The 22,621-nt window shown below is 40.5% G+C and overlaps 1 protein-coding gene and 1 pseudogene across 2 annotated transcripts in view, besides 2 other annotated features; both read left to right on the forward strand.

Moving 5' to 3' along the window:
• Window positions 13,970-14,019: an enhancer, noted in NCBI's record as "active region_28627". NCBI's record gives its function as "activates an Ori minimal core promoter by ATAC-STARR-seq in GM12878 lymphoblastoid cells {active_cell/tissue: GM12878}" and the evidence as "EXISTENCE:reporter gene assay evidence [ECO:0000049][PMID:35858748]".
• Window positions 14,290-14,709: a silencer, noted in NCBI's record as "silent region_20051". NCBI's record gives its function as "represses an Ori minimal core promoter by ATAC-STARR-seq in GM12878 lymphoblastoid cells {active_cell/tissue: GM12878}" and the evidence as "EXISTENCE:reporter gene assay evidence [ECO:0000049][PMID:35858748]".
• Window positions 14,431-22,621, forward strand: part of PTPDC1 (protein tyrosine phosphatase domain containing 1) — a 79,044-nt gene continuing 70,853 nt past the window's right edge. For both annotated transcript variants that reach the window (NM_177995.3, NM_001253830.2), the window contains exon 1: window positions 14,431-14,745. The gene's annotated coding sequence lies outside the window, so the exon portion shown is untranslated. The remainder of the gene's footprint in view (window positions 14,746-22,621) is intronic.
• Window positions 21,582-22,163, forward strand: CYCSP24 (CYCS pseudogene 24; annotated as a pseudogene).

Raw genomic sequence — 22,621 nt, forward strand, 5'->3', positions numbered from 1 at the left:
CTCAGGACGTTGAAGAGCCTCATTCCCTCCATGTGCTCCCTGAGTTTTCCACAGATGAGCTGATGGCCTTCGAATCAGGAGTCACAAACTCTATCTTCCCAACATATCCATAGTATGGCCCTAAAATACAGATTACTTTTCATGAGAAACTGTTTTAAGAATCTTAAGAGTCATCTGAGCTGGAAAGAACCTTAAAGATCACATCTAATCCTCTTTCAAGTGAAAATTAAGACCAGAAAAGTTCAAAGACTTGTCTCAAGTCCCAAGATCTCACCAAAAAAGCAGGGTGTGTTAGTTTTCTATTGCTTCATAACACATCACCACAAACTTAGAGGTGAACAACTATATTCATTCATTAGCTCACAGTTCTGTAGCTTCTGAGTCCAGCATGGCCTGGCTGGGTTCTCTGTTCAGGCTCTCACAAAGGTGAAGCAAGGTGTCAGCCAGGCTGAGTTCTAGTCTGGAGGCTCTGGGAAAGACCTGCCTAAGCCCTTTCTTGTGGGCAGGTTCAGTTCCTTCCAGTTGCAGGACAAAGGTCCCATTTCGTTCCTGGCCATTGGCTGTGAACTGCTCTCAGCTCCTCACGTCTCCTCCATCAAAGTAAAAACATTGCAGCAAGCCCTGCCCATTCTTTTAATCTCTCTGACTTCTGCCACTGCTACTGGCCATAATGAACTCTCTGGTTTTAAAAGTCTCATGTGATTAGACCAGGCCCACCTGTATACTCTCTTAACATCGGCTGTGCCATATAATATTTACTGCCATGTAATCATTGCAGTAAAAGCAATCAAATTCACACTCCTAAGGATTATATAGAATGTGTACATGGGGATGGCAAGGAGGGAAATCTTAGAAGACACAGACTCCTGCCTACCATGCAAGGATTTGGGAATCATACAGACATGGATTTGATAGCAACGTTACCACTTAACATCTCTGATTTCACTGAGCCTATGTTTCTTCCTCTGCAGAACGAGAATACCCCACATGCCTATACATGCCTTTTGTAAGGGTTAAAGAGAAAATGGATACAAAAGTGACTTTCTGTTTTTTGTTTTTTGTTTTTTTGAGATGGAGCCTCTCTCCATCACCCAGGCTGGAGTGCAGTGGCACGATCTTGGCTCACTGCAACCTCTGCCTCCTGGGTTCGAGTGATTCTCCTGCCTCAGCCTCCTGAGTAGCTAGGATTACAGGCGCGCACCACCATGCCCAGCTAATTTTTGTATTTTTAGTAGAGACGGGGTTTTACCATGTTGGCCAGGCTAGTCTTGAACTCCTGACCTCAGGTGATCCGCCCGCCTCGGCCTCCCAAAGTGCTGGGATTACAGGCATGAGCCACCGCGCCCAGTCTGAAAGTGTTTTTAAGGTATAAGGCACTACCTGGCAGGGTCTAATTGAAGTATTGTGCACAAGTATACGGCATCCCCTAGAAAAAAAGATCCTTAAGGTTAGAGGCTTAAGGACGTGACAAAATCAGGGTCTGAGTGAGCCTTACTATCTTTTAGTGACAATAAGATGGAAGTTTAGAGCACCAAGAAACAGATGGTAGATAAAGTATTTCAAATGGCCATTTATTTCCTATCTAAGGCAATGCAAAGCCACATTCAGATATATCTGGACTGCTTCTGACCCTCCACTGAAGGTGGGATTCTTCTTCAATCTGTGGGACAGTCCTGGATCTCCATGCTGACATGGTTCATCTAGTACAGTTGGGACCTAACTCAGATGACTGTCCTACAGATTAAAGCAAGGCACTACAGAGGTGACCAGGCAAGTGTTTCAGCAAGGAGCACAGCCTGTCCACCCCTCCCTGCTTCTGAACATTAGGGCAGAAATTGTGAGTTATGGTAACAACTCTCTAAATTTAGAACACTGAAGGGCAAGATTCTCTATTGTCTGAAAAAAACCACTGAAAGCAAGCCAACATAAGCATCTGTAGGAGCTCCATTTTTCTCTTCCTTCAGTGTGGCTTAGTTTCTGAGAAAGGAGCACACAGACCTTGTGCAACTTGCTTAAGAATGATGATTATAGTACATGAACTGTTTCCTTCTTAAGCAGAAGAAATCACTATGTGATAGTCTCCTTCAACGCTTCGTTGCTAAATACACACGGCCTGGCACATAACAGATATTTCAAAAAGCATCTGCAGAATGAATAAATGAAACGAACCAACCAACCAGTGAGCTGGAACCCAGTTCTCTTCACTTCTTATCCAACACTTTCTAGTATGCAATTCTGTTTCCCACTATACTAGCCTGGTGTCTGCCTTCTGAACAGAATTAATAAGCAAGTAGTGAGACTCTAGCTAAACTTAAATGTGCTAGCTCCAACAGTCCCTAGAAATTCTAAGCCAGGCTGTCAATTTGAAATTGTCTCTAGACAATAGCTGTGTAGCTGAGGAAGTGAGCAGCAGCACACTGACCATCTGCTCCTTCTTCTCTGGGGAGCTGAGCTGAAGGAATTCACAGAGGTTAATGAGCCCTCTCTGGCTCGTGTAGTCTTGCACAATCTGTGGGTCTGGGTCTCTTCCATTTTAGAAGATAAACACACACTTGAAATGCCTCGGGTGTGCACATGCCTATACAATGATTAGAGCTCTCTTGCCAAAGTGATATGTGAACTTTTTAGAAGCCATAAAGGAATACTGGAAAACTACTCGGCCTTCGTAGTCAGACAGGCCTTTGTAGTTCAGGGTTACAGCCCTTCATTTCTCCACTTATTAACTGGGTAACTTTGGTTCCTTTTACCTCTCTGGGCCTCCGTTTCTTCATATATAAAATGGGAATAATACAAAGAGTTATGCCTTGCAGGTCTATCATGAAAATTAAATTAATTAAGTGTGCAAAGTGCTCGGTACAGAACATTCAACACATGGGCTACTGTGGTTATTGGTATGTAACTAAATTTCTTCTCAAATACATTTCTATACATTTACTTCTTCAAACCACCCATGGTATTGAAACCAAAGGTTTGAAACTATTCCATAAAGATTCACTAAGTGACTAATACACACCAATATCTGCACTGGGTGATAAAAAATGGAGACAAATAAGAGAATGGAATAAGAGAAAGGGGTAAGAAAATAACATTTATCGAGAACCCATACTGAGCTAGGCACTGCACTAAGTGCTCGGAATCCCAGGCAAATAAGTCACAGCACTGGAATTTAATGAATTTAATGCTTGATTTTTCACTTCACACATTCATTCCTTAAGAGAAATCAAGCTCATGAAAGTTCCTATGGCTTTCTGGTTGCCAGAATCTCTTCTCTGAATTTCACTGGAGCAGAAGAATATACCTCAGAGACTTGCTTCACACTTCAGCCAGGCCTCAGCTCCTTCTTTCTCAGCTTGCCACTCCTCTCTATCTTCAGTTGCCCATTTGCAGTGATGAATGACTCGTTTCTCAACCAGTTCCTTGGTGCCCTTGGCCTCAATATTATTGTTTTTGAAAGTAATTGTGTTGTGGCAGGATCATCCTGCCCTCTTAATTAAGGGCATTTGTGGTTTGGTCTTTGTCCCATGTCCTCCTGGTCAATTATGCTTATTTATTCCCTGTTGTCAATTTGTCACTAATAAGTCCTCTCATATAATGTTATTACAGCACAAGTGATACACTTCTATATAATTTCAGGAAAAAGTGGACATTACTGGAACAAAAAGTGCTTAGAGAACCACATGATGAAGAAAACATTTCACAGTGTTGGTTTGTTCTCTATTTCCCACAAATCTACAGTAACAAGTTACAGATTTTAAAAATAACTCTAGAGTTACCCCTCTCAATTGAATAACTCAATTTTTTAAAAAACTCATCACAGGACAATAGCAATCAATCTATTTTGCAACACAATAATTCTAAAACAATTAAAATGTAAATGTTAAAAGAAACCATAAACATTCTAGAACAAAAATAAGTGAAAGGTTTTATGCCCTTAGGTGGGAAAAACATTTTTTTTTAAATTTCATTATTATTATACTTTAAGTTTTAGGGTACATGTGCACAATGTGCAGGTTAGTTACATATGTACACATGTGCCATGCTGGTGTGCTGCACCCATTAACTCATCATTTAGCATTACGTATATCTCCTAATGCTATCCATCCCCCCTCCCCCCACCCCACAACAGTCCCCAGAGTGTGACGTTCCCCTTCCTGTGTCCATGTGTTCTCATTGTTCAATTCCCACCTATGAGTGAGAACATGCGGTGTTTGGTTTTTTGTTCTTGCGGTAGTTTACTGAGAATGATGATTTCTAATTTCATCCATGTCCCTACAAAGGACGTGAACTCATCATTTTTTATGGCTGCATAGTATTCCATGGTGTATATGTGCCACATTTTCTTAATCCAATCTATCATTGTTGGACATTTGGGTTGGTTCCAAGTCTTTGCTATTGTCAATAGTGCCGCAGTAAACATACGTGTGCATGTGTCTTTATAGCAGCATGATTTATAGTCCTTTGGGTATATACCCAGTAATGGGATGGCTGGGTCAAATGGTATTTCTAGTTCTAGATCCCTGAGGAATCGCCACACTGACTTCCACAATGGTTGAACTAGTTTACAGTCCCACCAACAGTGTAAAAGTGTTCCTATTTCTCCACGTCCTCTCCAGCACCTGTTGCTTCCTGACTTTTTAATGATTGCCATTCTAACTGGTGTGAGATGGTATCTCATTGTGGTTTTGGTTTGTGTTTCTCTGACAGCCAGTGATGGTGAGCATTTTTTCATGTGTCTTTTGGCTGCATAAATGTCTTCTTTTGAGAAGTGTCTGTTCATGTCCTTTGCCCACTTTTTGATGGGGTTGTTTGTTTTTTTCTTGTAGATTTGTTTGAGTTCATTGTAGATTCTGGATATTAGCCCTTTGTCAGATGAGCAGGCTGCGAAAATTTTCTCCCATTTTGTAGGTTGCCTGTTCACTCTGATGGTAGTTTCTTTTGCTGTGCAGAAGCTCTTTAGTTTAATTAGATCCCATTTGTCAATTTCGGCTTTTGTTGCCATTGTTTTTGGTGTTTTAGACATGAAGTCCTTGCCCATGCCTATGTCCTGAATGGTAATGCCTAGGTTTTCTTCTAGGGTTTTTATGGTTTTAGGTCTAACGTTTAAGTCTTTAATCCATCTTGAATTGATTTTTGTATAAGTTGTAAGGAAGGGATCCAGTTTCAGCTTTCTACATATGGCTAGCCAGTTTTCCCAGTACCATTTATTAAATAGGGAATCTTTTCCCCATTGCTTGTTTTTGTCAGGTTTGTCAAAGATCAGATAGTTGTAGATATGTGGCATTATTTCTGAAGGCTCTGTTCTGTTCCATTGATCTATATCTCTATTTTGTTAACAGTACCATGCTGTTTTGGTTACTGAAGCCTTGTAGTATAGTTTGAAGTCAGGTAGCATGATGCCTCCAGATTTGTTCTTTTGGCTTAGGATTGACTTGGTGATGCGGGCTCTTTTTTGGTTCCATATGAACTTTAAAGTAGTTTTTTCCAATTCTGTGAAGAAAGTCATTGGTAGCTTGATGGGGATGGCATTGAATCTATAAATTACCTTGGGCAGTATGGGCCATTTTCACGATACTGATTCTTCCTACCCATGAGCATGGAATGTTCTTCTATTTCTTTGTATCCTCTTTTATTTCATTGAGCAGTGGTTTGTAGTTCTCCTTGAAGAGGTCCTTCACGTCCCTTGTAAGTTGGATTCCTAGGTATTTTATTCTCTTTGAAGCAATTGTGAACGGGAGTTCACTCATGATTTGGCTCTCTGTTTGTCTGTTATTGGTGTATAAGAATGCTTGTGATTTTTGTACATTGATTTTGTATCCTGAGACTTTGCTGAAGTTGCTTATCAGCTTAAGGAGATTTTGGGCTGAGACAATGGGGTTTTCTAGAAATACAATCATGTCATCTGCAAACAGGGACAATTTGACTTCCTCTTTTCCTAATTGAATACCCTTTATTTCCTTCTCCTGCCTAATTGCCCTGGCCAGAACTTCCAACACTATGTTGAATAGGAGTGGTGAGAGAGGGCATCCCTGTCTTGTGCCTGTTTTAAAAGGGAATGCTTCCAGTTTTTGCCCATTCAGTATGATATTGGCTGTGGGTTTGTCATAGATAGCTCTATTATTTTGAGATACATCCCATCAATACCTAATTTATTGAGAGTTTTTAACATGAAGGTTGTTGAATTTTGTCAAAGGCCTTTTCTGCATCTATTGAGATAATCATGTGGTTTTTGTCTTTGGTTCTGTTTATATGCTGGATTACATTTATTGATTTGTGTATATTGAACCAGCCTTGCATTCCAGGGATGAGCCCACTTGATCATGGTGGATAAGCTTTTTGATGTGCTGCTGGATTTGGTTTGCCAGTATTTTATTGAGGATTTTTGCATCAATGTTCATCAAGGCTATTGGTCTAAAATTCTCTTTTTTCATTGTGTCTCTGCCTGGCTTTGGTATCAGGATGCTGCTGGCCTCATAAAATGAGTTAGGGAGGATTCCCTCTTTTTCTGTTGATTGGAATAGCTTCAGAAGGAATGGTACCAGTTCCTCCTTGTACCTCTGGTAGAATTTGGCTGTGAATCCATCTGGTCCTGGACTCTTTTTGGTTGGTAAGCTATTGATTATTGCCTCAATTTCAGAGCCTGTAATTGGTCTATTCAGAGATTCAACTTCTTCCTGGTTTAGTCTTTGGAGGGTGTATGTGTTGAGGAATTTATCCATTTCTTCTAGATTTTCTAGTTTATTTGCGTAGAGGTGTTTGTAGTATTCTCTGATGGTAGTTTGTATATCTGTGGGATCGGTGGTGATATCCCCTTTATCATTTTTTATTGTGTCTATTTGATTCTTCTCTCTTTTCTTCTTTATTAGTCTTGCTAGTGGTCTATCAATTTTGTTGATCCTTTCAAAAAACCAGCTCCTGGATTCATTAATTTATTGAAGGGTTTTTTGTGTCTCTATTTCCTTCAGTTCTGCTCTGATTTTAGTTATTTCTTGCCTTCTGCTAGCTTTTGAATGTGTTTGCTCTTACTTTTCTAGTTCTTTTAATTGTGATGTTAGGGTGTCAATTTTGGATCTTTCCTGCTTTCTCTTGTGGGCATTTAGTGCTATAAATTTCCCTCTACACACTGCTTTGAATGTGTCCCAGAGATTATGGTATGTTGTGTCTTTGTTCTCGTTGGTTTCAAAGAACATCTTTATTTCTGCCTTCATTTCATTATGTACCCAGTAGGCATTCAGGAGCAGGTTGTTCAGTTTTCATGTAGTTGAGCGGTTTTGAGTGAGTTTCTTAATCCTGAGTTCTAGTTTGATTGCACTGTGGTCTGAGAGACAGTTTGTTATAATTTCTGTTCTTTTACATTTGCTGAGGACAGCTTTACTTCCGACTATGTGGTCAATTTTGGAATAGTTGTGGTGTGGTGCTGAAAAAAATGTATATTCTGTTGATTTGGGGTGGAGAGTTCTGTAGATGTCTATTAGGTCCGCTTGGTGCAGAGCTGAGTTCAATTCCTGGGTATCCTTGTTAACTTTCTGTCTCGTTGATCTGTCTAATGTTGACAATGGGGTGTTAAAAGTCTCCCATTATTATTGTGTGGGAGTCTAAGTCTCTTTGTAGGTCACTCAGGACTTGCTTTATGAATCTGGGTGCTCCTGTATTGGGTGCATATATATTTAGGATAGTTAGCTCTTCTTGTTGAACTGATCCCTTTACCATTATGTAATGGCCTTCTTTGTCTCTTTTGATCTTTGTTGGTTTAAAGTCTGTTTTATCAGAGACTAGGATTGTAACCTCTGCCTTTTTTTGTTTTCCATTTGCTTGGTAGATCTTCCTCCATCCTTTTATTTTGAGCCTATGTGTGTCTCTGCACATGAGATGGGTTTCCTGAATACAGCACACTGATGGGTCTTGACTCTTTATCCAATTTGCCAGTCTGTGTCTTTTAATTGGAGAATTTAGTCCATTTACATTTAAAGTTCATATTGTTATGTGTGAATTTGATCCTGTCATTATGATGTTAGCTGGTTATTTTGCTCATTAGTTGATGCAGTTTCTTCCTAGCCTCGATGGCTTTTACAATTTGGCATGATTTTGCAGCAGCTGGTACCAGTTGTTCCTTTCCATGCTTAGTGCTTCCTTCAGGAGCTCTTTTAGGGCAGGCCTGGTGGTAACAAAATCTCTCAGCATTTGCTTGTCTGTAAAGGATTTTATTTCTCCTTCACTTATGAAGCTTAGTTTGGCTGGATATGAAATTCTGGGTTGAAAATTCTTTTCTTTAAGAATGTTGAATATTGGCCCCCACTCTCTTCTGGCTTGTAGAGTTTCTGCCAAGAGATCTGCTGTTAGTCTGATGGGCTTCCCTTTGTGGGTAACCCGACCTTTCTCTCTGGCTGCCCTTAACATTTATTCCTTCATTTCAACTTTGGTGAATCTGACAATTATGTGTCTTGGAGTTACTCTTCTCGAGGAGTATCTTTGTGGCGTTCTCTGTATTTCCTGAATCTGAATGTTGGCCTGCCTTGCTAGATTGGGGAAGTTCTCCTGGATAATATCCTGCAGAGTGTTTTCCAACTTGGTTCCATTCTCCCCGTCACTTTCAGGTACACCAATGAGACATAGATTTGGCCTTTTCACATAGTCCCATATTTCTTGGAGGCTTTGTTCGTTTCTTTTTATTCTTTTTTCTCTAAACTTCTCTTCTCGCTTCATTTCATTCATTTGATCTTCCATCACTGATACCCTTTCTTCTAGTTGATCGCATCGGTTTCTGAGGCTTCTGCATTCTTCACGTAGTTCTCAAGCCTTGGCTTTCAGCTCCATCAGCTCCTTTAAGCACTTCTCTGTATTGGTTATTCTAGTTATACATTAGTCTAAATTTTTTTCAAAGTTTTTAACTTCTTTGCCTTTGGTTTGAATTTCCTCCTGTAGCTCGGAGTAGTTTAATCGTCTGAAGCCTTCTTCTCTCAACTCGTCAAAGTCATTCTCCGTCCAGCTTTGTTCCGTTGCTGGTGAGGAACTGCGTTCCTTTGGAGGAGGAGAGGCACTCGGCTTTTTAGAGTTTCCAGTTTTTCTGCTCTGTTTTTTCCCTATCTTTGTGCTTTTATCTACTTTTGGTCTTTGATGATGGTGATGTACAGTGGGTTTTTGGTGTGGATGTCCTTTCTGTTTGTTAGTTTTCCTTCTAACAGACAGGACCCTCAGCTGCAGGTCTGTTGGAGTTTGCTAGAGGTCCACTCCAGACCGTTTGCCTAGGTATCAGCAGCGGTGGCTGCAGAACAGCGGATTTTCGTGAACCGCGAATGCTGCTGTGTGATCGTTCCTCTGGAAGTTTTGTCTCAGAGGAGTACCCGGCCGTGTGAGGTGTCAGTCTGCCCCTACTGGGGGGTGCCTCCCAGTTAGGCTGCTCGGGAGTCAGGGGTCAGGGACCCACTTGAGGAGGCAGTCTGCCCGTTCTCAGATCTCCAGCTGCATGCTGGGAGAACCACTGCTCTCTTCAAAGCTGTCAGACAGGGACACTTAAGTCTGCAGAGGTTACTGCTGTCTTTTTGTTTGTCTGTGCCCTGCCCCCAGAGGTGGAGTCTACAGGGGCAGGCAGGCCTCCTTGAGCTGTGGTGGGGTCCACCCAGTTCAAGCTTCCTGGCTGCTTTGTTTACCTAAGCAAGCCTGGGCAATGGTGCGTGCCCCTCCCCCAGCCTCGCTGCCGCCTTGCAGTTTGATCTCAGACTGCTGTGCTAGCAATCAGCGAGACTCCGTGGGCGTAGGACCCTCCGAGCCAGGTGCGGGATATAATCTCCTGGTGTGCCGTTTTTTAAGCCCGTCGGAAAAGCGCAGTATTAGGGTGGGAGTGCCCTGATTTTACAGGTGCCATCTGTCACCTCTTTCTTTGACTAGGAAAGGGAACTCCCTGGCCCCTTGCGCTTCCCGAGTGAGGCAATGCCTCGCCCTGCTTCGGCTCACGCACAGTGCACTGCACCCAGTGTTCTGCGCCCACTGACTGGCACTCCCTAGTTAGATGAACCCAGTACCTCAGATGGAAATGCAGAAATCACCTGTCTTCTACATCGCTCACACTGGGAGCTGTAGACCAGAGCTGTTCCTATTCGGCCATCTTGGCTGCCCCCCTCTGACATTTCTAAGCATGCCATCAAAGGCAGAATGCATCAGGAAAATCAATAGAATTGATTTCAAAAAACACTAAAAACTTTTTATGGCCAAAAATCCCCCATAAACAAAATTATCCCCTAGAAACAAAATAACAAAAATATTAACAAACATAAATAAACTAGGAAACATATTTGCAATCCACAAACAAAGGGCACTTAACATACAAAGTGCTTTCACAATTGCAAAATGGGCTAAAGTCATGAAAAGATAATTCAAAAAACACAATGTCCAGTAAACACATAAAAATATGTTTGAGTTCACTAATTTAACAAATTCAAATTAAAACAATAAGAAATATTTTTTTCACTCATTAGATTGGCAAATATTAAACTTATGGGTAATGCCAATGTTGGCAAGTTATGCATACCAACCAGCATTGTCAAACATTCTTAGAAATATAAATGGGCTTAGTTTTCTGGATAGCTATTTTACAATATGCAAAGAAAAAAAGATTTAAAAAGTATACCATCTGACTCAGCAATTCACTCTGGGTATTATCCTAAGAAAATAATCAGAGAAGTCACAAAGGTATATGCATGAGGACATTTACTGTAATGCTGTTTATAATGAAAAATTTAAAATATCCTAGTATCCATAGAGGATAGTTAAATAAATTATGTTGCAGTCCTATAGTGGAATATTATGTTACCATTAAAAATTATAATGATTCTCTCTCCTTTGTTGGCTTTGAAGAAGTAAGCTGCCATTTCTGAGGTCTATGGAGAGGACCACGAGGCAAAGAATTGAGGGTGGCCTTTAGAAGCTGACAGCAGCCCATTGCTGATAGTCAGCAAGAAAATGGTGACCTGTCTATAGCTGCAAGGAGATGAATTCTGCCAATAACTTGAGGGCACATGGAAGTGGATCTTTTCCCAGTTGAGCTTCTGATAAGATTGTAGCCCTGGCCAGTACTTGAATTGCAATCTGTTGACAGAAACTGTGACAGGACTGATGATGCACAGAAACAGATAATAAACGTGTGGTGTTTTAAGCCATTAAGTCTGTGGTACTCAGCAAAGCTGTCTAAGATATGTTACGTAAAAAATAAGTTATGAAACAGTACGTATGATATGATCTTATTTTAAAGTAAACTTATATTTAAATAAATGTTCATAGAAAAATGTCTTGGACAATGTAAACCACTAGGTGTATTCCTCATACTTTTCTGCCTTTCTTGAAACTTATCTTCAATGAACATGTATATTATAAAGATAGATGTATTTTCATTTTTAAAGAAAAAACAATATCCAAAACCTTGGGAAGAGAGTTTATCTGTGATGTGTAATTTTTGTGTCATAATGATGCTACAGTTTTAAGCCCTTAGAAATTTAGAAAACTAAAGAATTTATGTATAACTAAATAATTTATGTATAAATAATACAGTGATTTTTTTTTCCACTGCGGGATCCTGTTGTTATTGAGTTGGAACTCCAAGAAGGTTGTTAGGTAAACATGGAATGAAAGTAATACCCACATATTACTCAAATTTGTGGAATAACCATCCAAGTTACAGTAGAGGAATGAGGTCTACATAGTCCAGATTTCCCATACAATGCTTATTTAAAATACTAAAGTCATTTAATTTTTGGTTACAAAATATAATCCTAATAGCTATAGAATACACCTTTCAAATGGCTGGAATACAGTATTTATATCCAGTTGTAAGATGTGAAAATCAACTAGAGACTCTGTGCTATTGAGTTTGCTGAAGAAAACATCACACACATGACCTCTATCCTTGATTGTGCTCTCTATCCAATTTAATAATCTTTTCATGGATCCAAATGAAATCTCATCCCCTCCCAAGGGGGGCATGTTTAAACACTCTCAACTTCCTATCCCACTACTTTCCCTCTCACCCTTGGCAGATAATCTGGTTGGCCTAACTAGGGTTATCCATCTATCCACTAGTTGGGGGAACACAAGGCATCTTAATAATGCCACCAAGACTACACACAAGGTGAAGAAATAGTTTCCCCAAAGCAAGGGAAGGAGTGGATGCTATGGCCAAAGGATGCAAACTCCCTGGCATGGCACACATGATCCATCATGACAGGACACTAACTCCTCAATATGTTCTTCTACCCCCACTTTCTTCATAGCCAGTGTCACATATGCTGGCTTCTCTCACATCAACATAATTTTAGACTATCTGATCCCTCTGCTTGGACTGCCATTCCACTTACTTAGCTTGATCCGCTCAAGCTTGATTTTCAAGACTCAGGTCAATCACCATTTCTTTAGAAAGTCTTCTCTAACGAAAATCCCTCTTTTTCCCTCTCTCCAGCCAGGTTGGATACTCTTCTCATGTCTCCCACACCGCCCAAATACCGTTATCATGATGTGTTCTAATTGTTTTTATACTTGTCTGTCTCCCCATAGACTGTGGGCAGGGTAACGTCTAATTCACCTTGGAATTGTTAATGCTTAGTGCAGCACAAGTATACACAAGACATTGTTTATTAAATGTATGAAACCAATCCATTACTTTTTTTTTTTTTTTTGAGATGGAGTCTTGCTCTGTGGCCCAGGCTGGAGTGCAGTGGTGCGATCTCCACTCACTGCAACCTCTGCCCCCTGGGTTCAAGCAATTCTCCTGCCTCAGCCTCCCTAGTAGCTGGGATTACAGGCGTGCACTACCACGCCTGGCTAATTTTTGTATTTTTAGTAGAGACGAGGTTTCTCCATGTTGGCCAGGCTGGTCTCAAATTCCTGACCTCATGTGATCCGCCCACCTCAGCCTCCCAAAGTGCTGGAATTACAGGCTTGAGCCACAATGCCCAGTCTCCATTACTTATTAACAAGCCCAAGTATGGGCACTGTTCTCTGTAGGACAGTGCTGAGAAATACCAAGTCAACGTTTTCAAATGTCTTTTCATCTGCTGCTTACTAAAACAAATTTTTTACATCATTACCATACTGGTGTTTAGATGTCACACTATTTTTGCATTGGTGTATTATATGGGGCCCGCTTCCTGAGCCACAGGGCAGTATGGTAGCTTCATCTTGTTTGTTGATTCCTGTCAGCTTTAGGCAGAGTGGCCTTTGTGGACTCGGTACAGAAAATTACATTCTTAGGTCCATGTGCTTGCAACTCTGCAGCCAACTGGTATCAGACCATCTGGTCAATCTAACAGCCTCTCTGCATTCACAGTTTGTCACCATTTCTATCTTCCAGTGTCATCTGCAACATGGGGCTAGTAATGCCTACCTAGAGGGATTAAATGTGAAAATATATGTAAAGTATCCAGTATAGGGTCTGCCACAGAGTATGTATTTGCCTAGTGAGTTGTTCTGCACATGCAGGGGAAGGACTTACTTCTACTGAGCCATGAGACCCAAGACCACTTGCGAGGGTGAAAAAACAAGATGCAGCAGATTGCTAGTTGCTTAATCAAATTCATTCTTCCCTTCATTTTGGAAAGATTTTTAAGGGCATCAATGTGCCAAGTTAAGATTACAGTTTCCAGCTCTGAGAGGTCATGATACTAAATTCGAGTCTGTAAGATGTAGTTAGAAGGTTTTGTGTGGGACTTCCAGAAAGGCCCTTTCTAAAATAAGGATGTGATGGCTGGAGCTCCAACTACCATTTTGGCCCATAAGGCAAATTGGTGGACACAAGCCAGGTGTAGGGATGACAGAGCCGAACGACCTTAGGTACCTTCCTCCCACTTTCTTTTATGGGAGAGGGGAAAAGCCCCTCGTGGGTTTAGGATACTGGAATCTGGGGGTTCCTGTTACACGCAGGCAAACCCCGTCAGCCACTCTGTAAACTGCTGGGCCTTGCTCTCACCCAGATTCTGCTCCTCGGATTTCTCTGAACCACCTGGGGCCGCGACGAACCACCTGGGGCCGCGACGCCGTAAGAGTTGGGACGATAGGACCAGTAGAAGCAGGAGGAACAACACAGGAAGCGCGCCCGGAGAGGCGGCCAGTCGCTGGGTTCCGTCCGCGGTGCTCCAGGGCTCTCCTGGCTCTTCCTCCATTCACTCTTCTCGACCCTGTGGCCGGGGAGCGCTTGCAGCCAGCTCCGCCGCCGTCCTTCTTGGCTCGCGCCGTCCCCTAGCCGTCCTCACGCCGTCCCCTTACTTAGGGTCCCCTTTCCGCACCCGCGCCATCCCCTCAGCGTCCCTCACGGTTCCCTCACCGCCCGCGCCCGTTCGAAAATGCCCAGAGCCACCGCTCTCGTCACGGTCCGCTTCAGGCCTCCATTGGCCAGCACACGTCACGTGCGGCGTGTGGCGGCTGACATTGGCGGGCGGGCGCGCTGAGGGCAGCGCCGGGGACGCGGCCTCAGCAGGGGCGCCCCGCCACGGGGAGCAGCCCAGGCGCTCGCCCCAGGACGTTGTCCGGCGGGCTGGGCTGGGACCCCTCTGCCTCCAGGGCGCGTCGGGAGCAGCAGGGATCGGTGCCGCGCCGTGAGGGTGCGCAGAGGCTGCCCTCGGGCCCGCTACCCACAGACCCTCCGCGGGGCAGCGTCTCCGGGCCGGCCGCGCCCTGGTCCGCCGACCGCAGACGACTTGTGACACGGACGGCGCGTCCTGCTGACCCCAGCCGGCGCCGAGGGCTTGGAATCTCGAGCGGGAAAAGGTTCGGAATTCGCAGCTAGTTTAGCCGCACACTCAGTATGGTTCTTTCAGATTTGTTTTTTTAAACGTCTAGATATTAAGTGATGCGTGGTGGAGGCAAATCACTGAGGGTCGTGAGCTTGAAACTAAAGTTTAAAGGTCTTGGATTTGAGGGTCTCACATTCAGATGTCTGCAGGGACCAGGCTGGGAGATGCTGGGAGAACCCCCACGTTCTGGGGTGGCGAGTGCCTCTCAACTGCCGCTGGAAGCGATCTCAGATTTTTCATGAGAAGTTGAATATCGGGATTTTTATGTGAAATCTCTTGATTTGTAAATGTTGGCAATCAATTAAAAAAAAAAGAAGAAACACTGGAAGCCAAGCAAAAGACATTTATAAGCTGGTTCTAGTCTGCCAGTTTGTGACCTCTAATTTAGGTCTAATTCTGCCACTAAATTAGTCACGTGACCTTGACCAAGTCATTTATCTCTCGGACATGCATTCTCAACATGGGTGATATTGCTCATGTTCTTAGGGGGAAAAAAGATCGTAGATATTACCGTCCTTTGTGGCCTTCCAAAGAGCCTCAAAACAAGCAGATATACGTTATACCTATGTCATTGAAATTTTATGGGGTTAGCAGATTCGGAAATAAAATGTCTAAAACGTCTCCTGGGAGGAGAGGGGGAAAATCAAGAAAAGGTTGAGAAACACTGCTTTAGGGAGGTGGATAAGCAGATGATCCTGCGATAGTTATGTATGTGGAAGGATTAAAACATACTAGCATTCATAGATTGAGAACCGGAAAACTCCGAGAGGTCATCTTATAAATGTTCCATGCCAGGCACTGTTAACACACACACGTACAGGTACATACATATATACACACATACATATGTCCACACAATTTTATTTGATCTCCACAACAAAGTGTCGTTTCATTTACTGTGTGGGAAAACAAGCTCAGAGGGTTTGGGTGACGTGTCACAGTCAGAGCTATTAATATTAAATGGAAGAACTGGGATTTAAATCCAAGTCTATGTGGCTCCAAAACCACCCACTCATCCTGTTGGCTCCCAGCTTGTCCAGTTGTGTCCAGACCTCTTAGTGCACAAGAATTCCACCTTGTGGCTTTTTAAAAATGCAAAATCTCAGCTCCCACTCCAGAAATGAGGATTCAGTATCAGGGACAGGGCTGGAGGATCTGCATTTTCACACCCTTCTAGGATGATTCCCATATTGGTGACCCAGGGACCATTTTAAGAACAATTGTTCTAGTCTAATTTCCCACCCAATCCCAAAGTCTTCGTGGGGTTGTACCCAAGGGGCTCAAATTTCTCCTCCCAAACAGAGATTCCATCTCCTTTTCCAGACAAGTGACCATTCAAGCTTTGGAAGGAAATCTTTTGTTGGAGGAAACCAAGGTTTAGGAGACAGCACCCTATCCTGTGGAACAGCTCTCATTTTGAGACAGTCCTGACAATTTTGCTTTGCTTTTTTAAAATGAGCTTCCTTCTGTGATATTCTGATCCTCCTTGAAAACTAGGTTCAAGGCATTTATTTGAAAGTTACTATTAAAGTTTTATTATTTATTTATTTTGAGACGGGGTCTCACTCTGTCGCCCAGTCTGGTCTCATACTCCTGGGCTTAAATTAATCCTTGACCTCCTGTAGTGCTGGGATTACAGGTATGAACCACCACACCTGGCCTCACAGTTCTCTTAAAAGCACATCCTTTTTCTTTTTCTCTATTTATTTATTTATTTTTTAAGTTTGAAACAGTGTCTCGCTCAGGTGCCCAGGCTGGAGTGCAGTGGTGCAATCTCAGCTCACTGCATCCTCAACCTGCCAGGCTCAAGCAATCCTCCCACCTCAGCTTCCCAAGTAGGTGGGATTACTGCTGTGTGCCACCACGCCCAGCTACTTTTTGTATTTTTTATGGAGATGGAGTTTCGCCATGTTCCCCAGGCTGGTCTTGAATTCCTGGGCTCAAGTAATCTCCCGCCTCAGCCTCCCAAAGTGCTGGGATTACAGCTATGAGCCACCGTCCCCAGCCTGCACGTCCTTTTTCAAAACCAACAACTGCCTCAAAGTCCAGACATTTTCTTTGTTCTAAATTAAGCAGTATAGAGGATGGGAAAATGTATACATCGAAATGTTTCTTCAGAATCATGTTTTATATAAGTTACTTATATATTTCTTTTTCTAAAAATGATGTAAGTTGAATAATCAAAACATTTCTTTGCAATTATTATCTGGATCGTTTCACGTACCTCATGTGTTGTTACTGAAAAAGTTGTATTTCATTTTTCTGGTTTCTGTGGAGGCAACATGGGGTACAGGAAATAAAGTGTGTTTAAGGAAGAACCGGTGTTCTAATCCCAATTCCAGTACTTTCTAGTTATGTGACCTCGGGCTGGTGACGTCCTCTCTGATTCTCAGTTCTTCCTCTCTGATTCTCACTTTCCTAATCTTTAAAATGGGGACAGTGCCTCCAGGGTTGTGACATTTATATGAGACAGCATGTGTAAAGCCCTAGTAGAGTGCTAAGCACAACTATTTTCTATTAATATTAGTTTTTTTCCTCTCTCACTCTCTTTAGAGCAAATTTATGAGTTCCTATCCTGCTGTAATATTTAAGATCATTTTGATTTCCAAAAAGATGCATTTTCTGGAGCACTTAACTGTATGTGAGACATAAAAAAATTCATAAAAAAAATAGTGGGCCATCTTTTTAAAAAACTTTGCTGAGAAAACTAAGGGCAAATTGACTATCTAGTTTCTTATCAGGTTTTGCTCTCTATGACCAAAGTCATCCATTTGTTAATTTAGCAGATATTTATGAACACTTATCATGTGCCAGGCAGTATAGTAGATGTAGACAATATAACTGTAAAGAAGACAGACAAGGTCCCTAACCTAAAATAAATTATATAAGAAAAAGATAGTAAGCAAATAAAGTAATTACAGATTTTGATAAATGCTTAAACAGTAAAACTGAATAATGTCAGTGAATTTAACATGGTAAGAAAATATGTTCCTCACTGAGTTTAAATTTGTGAAAAAATATTAGGAAATTATCTTAAACTCTTAAGTCTTAATTAAGGTTTTGAAATTAGGCTGTGTCAGAAAATGGGAGATTTGTGGCCAAGCACAGTGGTTCACGCCTGTAATTCCAGCACTTTGGGAGACTGAGACGGGTGGATCACCTGAGGTCAGGAGTTCAAGACCAGCCTGGCCAACATGGTGAAACCCCATCTCTACTAAAAATACAAAAATTAGTGGAGTGTGGTAATGCAGACCTGTACTCCCAGCTACTCAGGAAGCTGAGGCAGGAGAATTGCTTGAACCTGGGAGACGGAGGTTGCAGTGAGCCGAGATCATGCCACTGCACTCCAGCCTGGACAATAGAGTGAGACTCTGTCTCAGAAAAAACCAAACAAACAGAAAAGAAAACAGAGATTTAAGGAAAATAAATGAGAACACAGTTAAAGATTTCCTAGGTCTGAAATGTTTTACAGTTTATCCAAGGGATGTAATTTACATTTCTTCCATTAAAGTATCAATGTTTTGGTAATTTTTCTGCTTAACTTCTAAGAAATTATGATGTCATTTTTCTTAGAAATCATTCTGTATAAGAACAATTAATATGGACACTTTATTAGAAAATTGTGCCCCCAATAATCTTTCTCAGTGGTTTCTCTGAATTTTTTAAATTTTATTTTAAATTGACAGTTTATAATTGTATATATTTATGGGGTGCAAAATGATGCTGTGGTTTAATTCAATGTGGAATAACTAAGTCAAGCTAATTAATATATTCATCACCTCACGTACTTATTTTTTGTGATGAGAACATTTGAAATTTATCAATTTTAAAATGTATATGATTCATTTAGAATCATGCCTTTGCAGTCAATAGTAATATGTTTACTTTATACCTTATAATTCAACTCTTAGGTGGAAAAGATTCTAGGAATTTACATTTTCTCCACTTCCTTGAGTCTTCTGTTTTAGGAATTAAATTGCCTGTTTAATTGGTGTTGTGACTGTGTTTTTATTTTATTCTGTTCCCAATACTGTTTCCCAAGAAGTTTGCAATATAATGTAATACACTGTTATTAACTATATTCACCACACTGTGCAATAGATCTCAATTTTTAAAAACCCTATCCTTCTTGTCTAACTGAGGCTTTGTACCCTTTTGCCTTCATCTTCCTATTCCTCCCAGCTGTCAGCTTCTGGTAACCACCATTCTGTTCTCTGCTTCTATGAGTTCAGGTGTTTTAGATTCCTCATATAAGTGGAACATGTGGTATTTGTACTTCTGTGCCTGGCTTATTTCACTTTGCATAATGGTCTCTTAGTTCTCTTATTCCATCCACGTTGTGGCAAATGTCAGAATGTATTTCTTTTTTAAGGCTGAATAGTAGTCCATTGTGTATATATGCCACATTTTCTTTATCCATTCATCTGTTGATAGACACTTAGTTTGATTCCGTAACTTGGCCATTGTGAATACTGCTACAATAAACGTGGGCATGCAGACATCTCTTCAACTGATTTCAAATCTTTTGGGTAAATACCCAGAAGTGGGACTGCCGAATAGAGTGGTAGTCCTATTTTTAATTTTTTGAGGAAACTTTATACTGTTTTCTGTAATGGCTATACCAATTTACATACCCACCAACAGGACACAAGGTTTCCCCTTTTTCCACATCTTTGCCAACACCTATCTTTTGACTTACTGGTAATGCCATCCTAACAGGTGTGAGGTGATATCTCCTCATGATTTTGATTTGCACTCCCTCATGATTAGTGATGTTGAGCACTTTTTCATGTACCTGTTGGCCATTTGTATGTCTTATTTGGAAAAATGTCTGTTCAGGTCCTTTGCCCATTTTTAATCGGATTATTTGTTTTTTTTTTTGTTTTTTTTTTGCTACTGAGTTGTATGAGTTCCTGATGTATTTTGGATATTAATCCCTTATCAGATATATGGTTTGCAAACATTTTCTCCCATTCTGTAGGTTGTCTTGTCATTTTGTTGATTCTTCCCTTTGCTGTGCAGAATCTTTTTGGTTTGTTGTAGACCTTTTTTATTTTTGCTTTTGTTGACTGCTTTTAGTGTCACATCCAAAAAATTATTGCCAAGACTAATGTCAAAGAGCTTTATCCCTCTGTTTTTGTCTCAGAGTTTTCCAGCTTTAGGTGTTAGATTTAAGTCTTTAATCCATTTTGAGTTATATAATTTTTGTAAGTGGTGTAAGATAGGAGTCCTGTTTGTTTCTTTTATTTTTTTTCATGTAAGTATCTAGTTTTCCCAACACGATTTATTTAAAAGATTATCCTTTCCCCATCATGTACTCTTGGCACCTTTGTCAAATATTGAACATATATGCGTGGGTTTATTTAGATTAATTTTTTGTCATGTTTTAAAACCTAACCATTGTGTTCTTGGATGGTAAACCTTGTGATATTAACCCGTAACTTTTTGAGTGATAAGTTCCACCACAAGGCCATAACCTGCTCTGATTCTGGTGGCTACAAAAGAATACTTCCTCTCTGTTCTATGTGGGATGAGTAAGTATCAATCTCTGGATTAGACTTCCCTGGCTGGATGCTGCAGTGCACAGCAGAGGGAGTTGGCTACTATAGGTGGAGAATGGTTAGAAGACTCACAAATAATTAATCCAGGGAACAGAGTTGCATTTTTTCATCTCTAAGAGTCATTTCTATACATTACAATTCAAGCAGCACCATTTGTTCCCTTGACGCCTGTTTTATCCGGTAATTTGTAGCAATCTACCCTTCAAAAGGAAAGTTACCTTGTCCTATATGGTTTGAACTCAGAACATTCTTTTATTAAATTTTGAGCACTTACTATGTGCCAGGCATTGTAATGGTTTAAATGGATCTACTACAAGATTGCATGGCCAAATTTTATATGCTTAAGAAGATCTAGGTAATGTTAGCTTTCATGGAAATATTTTCTCATTTAGAATCTTGCCTTTGCAGTCAATCTTAATGTGTTACTTTTATACCTTATAAAGACTAATTCAACTCTTAGGTGGAAAAGATTCTAGGAATTTACATTTTCTCCATTTCCTTGAGTCTTCTGTTTTAGGAATTAAATTGCCTATTTAATTAGTGTTGTGACTGTTTTTATTTTATTCTGTTCCCAATACTGTTTCCCAAGAAGTTTGCAGTATAATTGTCTTTTAAAAATAACATTGTTTTCTTCTCAAAGTAATATGTATTGTCAAATTTAGAAAATATCAGTAGAGAATAAAAACCACCCATAATCCACCCTGTTAATATTTTAGTTTATATTTTTCCAGTCTTTTATATGTGTACTTATTTTATATATGTGTATGTGTGTGTTTCTTTTATAAAAATGAGATATGTTCTCTTTTGTAGCTTGTAATTTTTAATCTAATAATATATGGTAAGTAAGTAGCTTTTTACTCTCATGATTGTTTTTAAACAGAATTTTTTTTTTCTAGAACAGGGACCAGAAGAATACTATTAATAAATTACTGTACAGGATAAATTCAGAAACCCAAACTGGAACCCAGGAACAAAATCCACTTCTCTGCTCCTTTCCATCCTTAATTCCTGCCCCTTTCGGTCCTTAATTCCTGCCCCATTCCCGTCCCGTAATCCCAGGGTACGAGGGTTCTATTGGGGAAGTCGCTGAAGGAAAGTTATCCAGTCAGATATATAGTTAGCACTTTAAGTTCTCTTCTTTGCAGAGCTTTTCAGCTAACTCTTCAGAAAGTTCTACGGCTAATCATTCTTCAGAATGATCTACTGTTAATGTGCAAATATATTTGACTATTAAATTATCTCTGTTTTGAGAGAGTGGGACGTCCGGCTTCGGGGTAGGAACCTTCGTTGCGCCAGCGACAAAAAAGAATTAAATATGGGTGATGTTGAGAAGGGCAAGAAGATTTTTGTTCAGAAGTGTGCCCAGTGACACACCGTGGAAAAGGGAGGCAAGCATAAGACTGAGCATAATCTCCATGGTCTCTTCGGGCAGAAGACAGGTCAGGCCGTTGGATTCTCTTACACAGACGCCAATAAAAACAAAGGCATCACCTGGGGAGAGGATACACTGATGGAGTATTTGGAGAATCCCAAGAAGTACATCCCTGGAACAAAAATGATCTTTGCTGGCATTAAGAAGAAGGCAGAAAGAAAAATGATAGCTTATCTCAAAAAAAGCTACTAGTGAGTAATTATTGACCACTGCCTTATTTATTACAAATGTCTCATGACTTTTTTATGTGTACCATACTTTAATAGATCTCATACACCAGAATTCAGATCGTGAATTACTGACAGAATATTTTATTGGGCCGTCCTGATTTAAAACTGATTTAAGACTGGCTTGTGGTTAAATGAATATGTTCAGTGTTTGAATTTTAATAGTAATTCCAATTCAGTAAATGCTATCACTGTTTACCCCTTCTAAAAATATAATTAGACTTCATTAGTAATGTTCAACTTTTCACAAAGATGGTGAGTGCCATCTTAAAACTTACTGGAGTTTGGTTTTATATTTAGATTTATATAACTAGTTATGTGAATATATTTAAATACTGGGGAAATTCCTTCACTGTGTCAGAACCAAGCAAGATTCACCTGTGTTTTGTGTTCATTTGCCTCTTAAAGGCAAGGGTTGAAGATAAATAAGGTAGCAATGTCTACTTTATATTTTTGGCCTTAATTATGCCAATCTAACCAGAATCACTGTATTTAAAATGGTTCCTTTTACTTATTGAAAGGCATTTTAGTGTGGTTTGTGTGTAATATCAAAGATCATTTAACACTTTTAAAATTTTATAGATGATCTATAAGGTCACATGCTTTTAAAATAGTAGCAAGTTAAACTTC

This window comes from Homo sapiens, chromosome 9 (genome assembly GCF_000001405.40).
Source record: "Homo sapiens chromosome 9, GRCh38.p14 Primary Assembly".
In the NCBI taxonomy this organism is placed as follows: Eukaryota; Metazoa; Chordata; class Mammalia; order Primates; family Hominidae; genus Homo; species Homo sapiens.